Source organism: Homo sapiens, chromosome 4, assembly GCF_000001405.40.
Source record: "Homo sapiens chromosome 4, GRCh38.p14 Primary Assembly".
Taxonomy (NCBI): domain Eukaryota; kingdom Metazoa; phylum Chordata; class Mammalia; order Primates; family Hominidae; genus Homo; species Homo sapiens.
Genome location: NC_000004.12, coordinates 43,343,743 through 43,353,207, shown reverse-complemented (window position 1 = coordinate 43,353,207; position 9,465 = coordinate 43,343,743).

Sequence of the window (9,465 nt, the reverse complement as noted above, 5' to 3'; positions counted from 1 at the left end):
TCTCCTTTTTCACAGATGGGATCAGTGCAACCACACGACTTGCTCAGCATGGCTTTCATGCCTGGGTATTAATTTGAACTAAAGGCAAATGTCGCTGAGTAGCTCTAGTCCCATGCTCCTGTTAATCTGAGGTCTGCCATTGATATTTACTGTTGAATAAAACCAGAACCAGACAGCAGTAAAACTGTAGTAGTAAAGTGGAGAAAAACCAGATTTTATTCAGGAACTATTGCCATGGGGAAAAGCGACCTCAACATGGAACTAGGCTCAATTCCAAACACAGCAAAGACAAGTGGGGATGCATAGCCAAGGAGCAGGTTGGAGGTAGGGTGATTGTGCAGTAGAAAATCATCACTTACAGCAAACATCCAGAGTAAGAGGAGACTCTGGATAAACTGCTTGAAAGGATTCTAGCTGAAGGCAGGCCAGGATGATCAGATACAAAGGGCAGGTAGGAAAGAGGAATTTGACCAGATATTGAGGGTAGGAGATTCTCACTAAACTGACTTAGCAAAATTCTTGTTAAAACTATGTTATGTAAAGATGAACATGGAAGGCCAAAGATCAAAGAATGTGACTAATGTTTGGTCAAGGAGAGAGCCTTTGTCAGCACTCTATTAACTTGACAGGACCTTCACATGAGTAACAGGGCAACTTAGCTTTGCTATGTTTAGTTCCCCTGGAGGGAGTACTGTCCTATCATGAAAAATCAGGGATTAGGCTGCTTACTAATAGAAATTCATTTTAAATGTCTTCCTGAGAAGATGGACTTTCCTGAGAAGTAGATCCCAGGCAAGATGTATGTAAAAGTGCTTATTGAGCAGGTGATCCTAGTAAACCCCAGTAGGACGTGGGGAGTGAAGGAAAGGAAGAAAGAGAACAAACAGTGCTTTATCAAAGGATACCCCTGTGGGTGCTGGAGCTTGGTCCTCATGGGGGCCCTTTGGAGACTATGTAGCAAGAGAGCCAGAGTATTTACCCACTAACTCTGGTAAATCATTGGTTGAGAGCTGTCCTGTGGAATGGTCAACTCCTGATATTTCATTCCTGCCATGTGCATCAATAGAGTGGCCTCCAGTGGCCTTAGCAAACCCTCAAAGATCTGCTGTTGCTTTGAATAGGAAGCCATTGGCCTATAGAAATAAAGTGGGTGCCCAGAAGATATGATAAGGCACTGATAGAGTCTACAGTATTTTTAAACTATTTCCTTTCTTTTATATACTCTGTTCTGAGATTCACCTGCTTATAGTAGAAACTCAGTATTTCTTTGTGGGCAATTAATGGCAACTATCAGCCTAGTCTGTAGCAGCCTGTTGTGGCACTACATTTTTTAAAGACGGGTTTGTTGAGGTATATTTTACATGTAGTAACATTTACTTCTATTGTAATATGTCCAGTGTTATAATTTTGGCAATCACATATAATATAAACATGATTATATATATGATACAGTTAAGATATAGAACATTTCCATCAGCCCAAAAAATTTGCTTCTTTATATTCAATCTCCCTCTCCCACACCCTGACCATAGAAACCATTGATTTGATTTCTGTCCCCATAGTTTTGCCTTTACCAGAATGTCATATAAATGGAATCACTCAACACGTAGTATTTTGAGTCTGGACTCTTGCACTTAGCATAATGCTTTCAAAAGTCATTCATGTTGTTGCATGTAACATTAGTCTGTTCTTCTTTATCACTGGAAAGTATTTAATCATATGAATGTACTAAATTTGTTTATCCATTCAACAGTTAGTGGATATTTGTGGCCATTTCCACTTTGGATGAAGTTGCTATTGCATTTAACTAACAGAGACGAAAAGGAAAAAATAACTTTATTGATGTCATTTCAACCATATGATCAAGGTTTACTTCATGAGTAATATCATGTTGATACCATATACCCCCCAATATAACATGATGAGGACACTTCACCTCTATGATCTTGTTCACAAAAATGCATACCCCTATCTAATCATGACAAAATATCAGACAAACTAAAATTTAAGAACATTCTACAAAACGTTTGACTTCAAAACTCTCAAGGCCATGAAAACAAACAAAAAAAGAGTCTAAAAAAAGAGTCACAGACTGAAGGAGACTAAGAAAATATAATGACCAGTAGATCAAACCACACCCCTTCTATTGTCCAAAGGGAAGGGCAGATCACTCTGATCAGGCCAATTGCTCTCTTTCTTTTGGGAAATTAAATTTAGAAAAATATGGTTTGAGATCTGAACTAAAAGATTTCCAATAAGAAGCCTCCAGAATAGACTGTTCATTGGTAATGCTGAAGACACCACAGATGCCCTGGCTCCAATCCTTACCACACTTTGATTGCTTATTTACTTCATTCTTCAATTCCGTGAGCCATTCTGTATTAGTTTAATAAATTATCTTTTTGCTATAGTTACCCAGATTTATTTGTGGTTTTCACCTGAAGAACCCAAATGCCTACAGAAATTTTCAGAAGTCCTCCAAAGTAAAACTTTAATAGAAAGATATGTAACCCAAGTTTCAGCTGGGATTTTGTCACCCCTTGAGCAATACTTTATTGTTCCCAGGCCCATTACCTGCCATGTGGAATAAAAAAAACTGGCTTCAAGATTTCCCTAAGTTTACAGGGAGCCAGAATTTTTATTCCAACCTTTGGCTGTGACCTCTGATTTACCTTTGTAATGTCTTTTCATTCATTCAGATACGAAACTCATTCCACTTATTTTTTTAATTTATATTAGACCAGCCTGTTACATAAAGTATGTGTATATGTGAAAGACATTATTACTAAAAGTGATGAAAAAATTATAGGGGTTACAGTACAGCAACTCAACTTAAAACCTTGTCATAATGATTTTGAGTACTAAAGGGCCTTAGGATATTTCTCCATTTTATTCCCTGCCTTCTGCCTTGTCTGGCAATAGGACACCCTATTTCGTTTCTGCCCTCTTCTCTTCTCTCTTCTTTCACCCCTACTGGCACCCACCAATTTTCCTCAAATTTCCATTCATTTCTGAAAGAAGAGTTTGGTAACTCCTCTCATGTCTTGCCCCTTAATGACCCAGTGATTCTCATTGCTTCATCTGCCCACAGTGGTTCCCTACTCACTAGTAGTTTATCAAAACCAGGTACTTTGTTGTTTTTCTTTTGTTTGTTTTTGTTTTGAGATGGAGTTTCACCCTTGTTGCTCACAAGAGTGATCTCAGCTCACCGCAACCTCCACCTCCTGGGTTCAAGCGCTTCTCCTGCCTCAGCCTCCCGAGTAGCTGGGATTACAGTCATGTGCCACCACGCCCGGCTAATTTTGTGTTTTTAGTAGAAAGGAGATTTCTCCATGTTGGTCAGTCTCGTGTTGAACTCCTGACCTCAGGTGATCCGCCCGCCTTGGCCTCCCAAAGTGCTGGGATTACAAGCATGAGTACAGATAACCAGGTACTTTCTTAAGAGGAATGATTTTTGTTATTCGATCTCGGCTCACCGCAACCTCTGCATCCCGGGTTCTAGCGATTCTCCTGCCTCAGACTCCCGAGTAGCTGGGATTACAGGAGCCCGCCACAACACCCGGCTAATTTTTTTGTATTTTTATTAGAGACGGGGTGTCGCCATTTTGGGCAGGCTGGTCTCAAACTCCGGACCTCAGTTGATCCACCCGCCTCGGCTCCCAAAGTGCTGGGATTACAGGCATGAGCCCCCGTGCCCAGCCTAATTTGGGTTTCTTTATTAATTAATCTTGAAAGTTACATTTTGGTTTATCTTTGTCTAGGAGAATACTTTTCAAAACTAACAGAAAATTAAATATTTTGGAAGAGCATTTTCTATCTCCAAATAAGTTAAAACATACTGTTAACTTACAGTGTCTGTCCTATCTTAAGCTCTGTGTCTAAAGCATACACAAGTCTGTCTCATGAAATAGAATGTTAAACATTTATTAGATTTTTCCTTGAAGCATGAAATTTACATTTATCTCCAAGATTTTTTTTTAACTGCTAGACTTGTTTTTATGAAAAAAGTTTTCTCCTGTTTCCCTCATTTTTGCAATATTCATACACTTGAATTTTCAATGCAGGCATTTTTGAAAAAGCCAATTTATTTCATCTCAGTCAATTAGACACAATGTGTCATCAGTTCTCCTAGAGTAGGATTTTGGTTTTTTACCACTGAATTAATCCTTGGAGAACTGAAGTGCCAACCTAAACCTGAGGCTTTCATCTCAACAGTATATTCAACCAAAACAGTAGCTGCAAGAGGTTTCAATACAGAAATATTGAACTTCACTGCATTCATAAATGTCTATCTAAAATATAATTTATTGCTGAATACCTAGTCTCTTGCCCATTATTACCTTTTCAACACACACTGATTCATGTGCGATCTCTGAAGTAATAAGTCTTAAATAGATAAAGAAGTGTACTTTCACCTTCCTACTTGTAAACTTATAGATGTAGACTCATGCTATCGAGTCATTTGAATGGAATTATAATGTCTTCAGAAAGCATTCATTATGAATTTAAATGCCACTCATATTTTAAAATGAATACTGTTTAACACTTTTTGAACATATGAACATGCTTTCAGTGTAACACTGCTCAACTTTTGAACAAACTAAATAACTTGAGCTTTGGTTCAGATTCCTTATTTAACATTCAATGCTTTCTACAATCTGGTGCCAACATAACTTTTCAGGCTTATTTCCTATAATTCTCATGAATTGAAAATTAGTTCTGTTTAAACTGGTCTGTTTGTGATCCTCTAAACACCTTGAAGTTTCTCACAACCTACTTTTATCCTTACATTTCTTCCATCTGAATAGTCCACTTTCCTCTCTTTACCTTAATTAAATTTTATACATACTCCAAGACCTAAGTCTATTTCCACTTCTTTGGATTGTCTTTTATTTTATCATCTAAGGTGAAGTGATCTCAACTTTTCCCAAAATCATGTAAATATTATGTCCATTTAAATAAACATTGTTTTTGTCTGTTGTTATATTACTTGGAATAACTTGGGAAGACTTTCACCATATTTAGTTGTTATGTCTGTGAAGTGATACTATAGGCTAGATGCCCTATACAAGCTTAGGACTTTAAGAAAACCTTTCCTAAGGGCTAGGCTGTCATCCTTCAGAGAACGAGAAACTGAAGCACTGATTTGCACTCACTCTGGAGGATATGCGAAATCTGGTCTAACTTCTATACTGTGTGGCATAAGACAATTAACTACGGATGGAAGAAGAACTCGGAAGTATCTTACAGAGAGAGGCAGTCATTCCTCTGGACACCTGCAATGGAAGTAAAACAAAGTTCTTGTCTATAGGATGTCATTGGTGTTAAGATCATTGGGAGAGAAACCGTATCAAAGTTTCAAATATGGTTTTAAATTTTCAAATCCAAACTGAAAAATATAGATGCTCTGAATTGCAGACAGAAGGTAGCAATTGAGCTCTTTCTCACATGGACAACTCTGTACAGCATGTTTCAGAATGGGGGAAATTGTTTATTTGACCTTAGTTGATATTGAGAAGGTCAAAAGTGATTTATATATTTTCCAATTACACAGATACTATATTAAAATATTGCTTGTATTTTTGTCTTGAATAATTAATGTATACTCTTACTCAACTTCTGATGGCCCCCCATGTTACTCTTCAAATATATTATACGTTGTTGAGCGGTCATTTTTTCTGCACTCTCAGAGAGCAGTGATTGAACTTTATAGGTCTGTAGTTTCATTGACTAGTAAAAGTATTTCCATTAGGAAAATATCTAGTTAAAGACAGAATTAAATATACATTGGTTTGGGAAAGCATAAGAAAAAATCTATTTATTTATTCATTCATTCATTCTACAAAGACATTAACTGCTTGTCATATGCCAGGAACTCTACTAAGAACTGAGATAATTTTTATAACTTGTGTTGTCCTGCCTCAATTTCCTCAACTGTTAAATGAAGATATTACTAGTGATTACTATTCTATGAGTTTCCTATTGTGGTTGTAACAAATTTCCACAAATGTAGTGGCTGAAACAATGCAAATTTATTATCTTACAAGCTCCATAAGTCAGAAGTCCAACGTGGGTCTCATGGGGCTCAAATCAAATTAAGGTGTCAGCAGGGATACATTATTTTCTAGAGCCTCTGGAGGGAATCTATTTCCTTCTCTTTCAAGTTATTGGCAGAATTCACTTCCTTACGATGTAGAATTGAGACTTCCATTTCCTACTTTGCTTCTAGCTGTGGGTTATTCCCAGCTTCTAGAAGCAAGTGCATTCCTTGCCTCATGGACCACCTCCTCCATCTTCAAAGTTAGTCATTTGAGTTGAGTCCCTACTGTCTCTTCTGTAGTTGCATCTGTCTGTCTGACTTGCTTTTCTGCTTTTCTCTTCCGCTTTTAAAGACCCACCCAGATAATCCAAGATAATCTGCCTTTATAAAGTCTTTAACCTTAACCTCAACTGCAAAATCCCTTCTACCATGCAAGGTAACATAGTCACCAGTTACAGGAATTATGGGATGTGGGTATCTTTGGTGACCCATTATTTAGCCTTCTACAACCTCCTATGTTTATTATGAATATAAGTTGTATTTATTCCTTAAGGCCCTCATAGCATGGCATGGCAGACATGAATTGTTCAGCAATTGTCAGTTATTTACTGCAGTGGTTGCTGCTGTTACCATTACTATGATGTATCTTCAAACAGGCCATGTATTGAAAAAAAAATAACTGTAATGAAATAAAAATAATTGAAATCCATAAAAAATAATCTAACTGTATATTTCAGGGCTAGATGAGCTTTAAACTAATCTATTTTGCAATAACCCATGAAGGCAGATATTTAACCAAAATGTTTTATCAGTGTTTAACCATAATATATGAACTGGTTTTCTCCCTGTTTTTCCTTCAGTCTGAAAGAGGAAACACTGTCATTGGCATTGATTAAGAATGGCTATTTCTCAATAAGAATTCGTAACTATTATTATTAGGCTATTAAAGTGGGCAAGAAACATAATAGTCAGCAAGCATCATAAAATTATCCATGTGGTCCTTGGGTATGTTCCCAATATTAGACTCTATATAAAGACAGGGAACAAGAATTTGACCTAAGAAGCAAGAATCTTAGTAATAAAGATCAGATGGTTTTTCCAAAAACCAAAAGCTATTCATAGAAAAACACTAAATAAAAATATTTTCTTCTTAGTTTTGTGAAAAATACAGGATCACTCTCACAAAGTCACAATAAAAATTTTAATACTTAGATTAGCTTTTGTGGAAACTAGAATATAGTTATGACAATTTTTAGCCTTGTTTTACAGGAAGAAAAGGATTAAGAAGGTTAAGTGAAGTTTCTGAGATTAACTCTAAGTCAATGCTACCACAAGAAATGGGTGACACAATAGATATTTCTACCTCTTATCAGTTGCCTAACTTGGACAATCTCATCCCCTTAGTGAGAAGGCCATTAGCCTCTGCCCAAACTTGCCCATATTTATAGATTGACTGAAAAGATGAGGTGGCAATTCAGTCAATAACCTTTGACACAAATTCAGACAAATCTTATGCTCCTCACAATGACAAATTACTCTAGAAAATTAACTGTCGAAAGTGCAGCAATATGATGAAGATTGATTATTTTACTCTTGCAAGTCTGCTTTGAGTTAGAGTAACAGCCTCATTTAAACACAGATGGCACTTATAGGAAAGGACAGATCAAGTCCTCATATCAGCTGAAAAGGAGAAGATGAATTTTCATGGGATAACAAGGGTGATGATTCTTTTTCCCGGAGAAGGAGCTTGTGTTTCGTGAGTGCCTCTTTAAGATTATCTTTCACAGTCTCTGCAAAGAGGAAGATCATATTTTTAAACATTTTGCCACCACTTCTGAATAAGCCACATAAAGGTAATTTTAGCCACAGGCTTCAACTTTTGTAAAAAGTAGAGTTTGAGAAATTTTCCTTTAACTTCATATATTTTACTGATACCATAAAATTAATTTAAATATTTGAAATTGCATATAGTATTTTCATAAAAGACATAGAAAGCTATGTACTAGAGTTAAACTTTTTTCCCAAATGGTATATATAATAGCATATAAGCTAAAGTCTATGAGAAACTTAAGTCTTTCCTTGAAATTCAAGTGGGCATATGGAAAGGGATATTAATCATTTCAAACAAAAGATCAGTAAAACTGTCCTTTCAAAAATTTTCACAATCTATTATTTATTTTATTTCACATTAATACTTTATACTACCAACAGCCTTATAAGACATTCTTTTATAGAGGAACTATTTGAGAATTTTACAACATCCCGCTAAAAAGTAACGGTAAGCTCACTTAAGTATCACAAAAGCAGATCTGAAGTTACTTCTCTAAGGGAATGCTTCCCACTGTATGTTTGCCCCATCAGAGGCCTGCAAGCAGAGAAAGAACAGGAAAAGGAGCAAATGGAACCATGTTACTGCAGAGGCAAAAAGTAAAAAAAAAAAAAAAAAAAAAAAAACCTTGTATCATGGAGGGTTGCTTGGAAAAGGATCTTGAGCTGGGAGAAAAGCCGGGGGCTGATGAACTACAGACAAATGACATCGGAAGGATACTGCAGAACTGGATGTGGTGGAGAAGAGCTTCTAAGAGAAATAAGCAATTCGTAAGCAGCAAACTCTTACGATAAGCAAACAGGGCATTATTGCCGCCCTGTGCAGGCTAACTACTAACCAAAGGAGTCGGATCTTATCAATCGCAGTCTTCCAACAAGAGAAGAAAATACAGCAGCAATCATCAGAATGCATGGGTTTGTGTAGTTAAAATACCTGGACACAATACCTCCTCTGGGAGATTTCTGACTGGGTTGTTTTGGCAGAATGTGGTATTAGCAGATGCTATGGATGGTACGATGTACAGCTATTAAAAAACAAATATAAGGCTGGGTGCAGTGGCTCACGCCTGTAATTCTAGCACTTTGGGAGGCCGAGGCAGCAGATCACGAGGTCAGGAGATCGAGACCATCCTGGCTAACACAGTGAACCCCCCCCCGTCTCTACTAAAAATATATTTTAAAAAATTAGCTGGGCATGGTGACTTGTGCCTCTAGTCCCAGCTACTCGAGAGGCTGAGGCAGGAGTATCGCTTGAACCCGGGAGGCGGAGGTTGCAGTGAACTGAGATCACGCCACTGCACTCCAGCCTGGGAGACAGAGCGAGACTCTGTCAAAAAAAACAAAAACAAAAACAAAAACAAAAACAAAACGAACATACTGTGATGATTACTAGAAGAAATTATCAAAAATCTAGCAATTTTCACCTTTTTATTTGATTATCCTTTATTATCAAATCAAATGTGATGATAAAAGGTAGTGCAATATGGTAAAGAGAGAGAGAGAGAAGGAAAAAAGGAAGGAAGGAGAGAGAGAAAAAAAGAAAAAGAGGAGAGAGAGAAAGAAAGAAAGAAAAAGAAGAAAAAGAGAAAGAAAAAAGA